Source organism: Homo sapiens, chromosome 11 (genome assembly GCF_000001405.40).
Source record: "Homo sapiens chromosome 11, GRCh38.p14 Primary Assembly".
Classification (NCBI taxonomy): domain Eukaryota; kingdom Metazoa; phylum Chordata; class Mammalia; order Primates; family Hominidae; genus Homo; species Homo sapiens.
In genome coordinates this window covers 111,177,670-111,178,595 of record NC_000011.10, presented here as the reverse complement: position 1 = coordinate 111,178,595, position 926 = coordinate 111,177,670, and the positions used below count along the sequence as shown (strand labels likewise).

Sequence of the window (926 nt, the reverse complement as noted above, 5' to 3'; positions counted from 1 at the left end):
AGACATCTCACATGGCAAGACAGACAGCAAGAGAGGGGGCGGGGAGGGGTCACACACTTTTAAACAGCCAGATCTCCAGAACTCAACTCGCTATCTTGAGGACAGTGCCAAGAGGATGGTGCTAAATCATTCATGAGAAATCTGCCCCATGAGCAAATCACCTCCCGCCAGGTCCCACCTCCAACACTGGGGATCACAATTTAACATGAGATTTAAAGGGGAAAACATCCAAACTGTATCACACCTGTAATACAGCAGTGAACATTTTCCCTTGTATATATTGCTAGAATGCCCCTAAATATTAAAAGCAGATTTGTGGCTGGGCGCGGTGGCTCACACCTGTAATCCCAGCACTTTTGGAGGCTAAGACGGGCTGATCACGAGGTCAGGAGAGTGAGACCATCCTGGCCAACATGGTGAAACCCTATCTCTACTAAAAATACAAAAATTAGCTGGGTGTAGTGGTGCGTGCCTGTAGTCCCAGCTACTCAGGAGGCTGAGGCAGGAAAATTGCTTGAACCCAGGAGGCGGACGTTGCAGTGAGCTGAGATCTTACCACTGCACCCTAGCCTGGGTGACAGAGTGAGACTCCATCTCAAAAAAAAAAAAAAAAAAAAAAAAAGAGCAGGAGCAGGTTTGTGTGAATAGGGTTATACTAACATTAATACTCAAACACTGAGGCACAGAAAGGTTAAAACAATAGTCTAAAGTGACCGTGTTATGTAGTAGAGTCAGGATTAAAGCCTAGCACTCTGGCCCCAGAGCCTGTTATCTTAAGCATCTTGGACCAGGTGTGCAGGCAAGAATAAAAACAGGAAGAAGGGTTTGGTCCAGAGAAGGAGCCTATGAAGCAGGGAGGACTTGTGACCTGCTGTGGTTTGAATATACCCCCCAGATTTCATGTGTTGGAAACTTAATCCCCAACA

General features: G+C 46.4%; 1 annotated feature.

Moving 5' to 3' along the window:
• Positions 624-693: an enhancer, noted in NCBI's record as "active region_5504". NCBI's record gives its function as "activates an Ori minimal core promoter by ATAC-STARR-seq in GM12878 lymphoblastoid cells {active_cell/tissue: GM12878}" and the evidence as "EXISTENCE:reporter gene assay evidence [ECO:0000049][PMID:35858748]".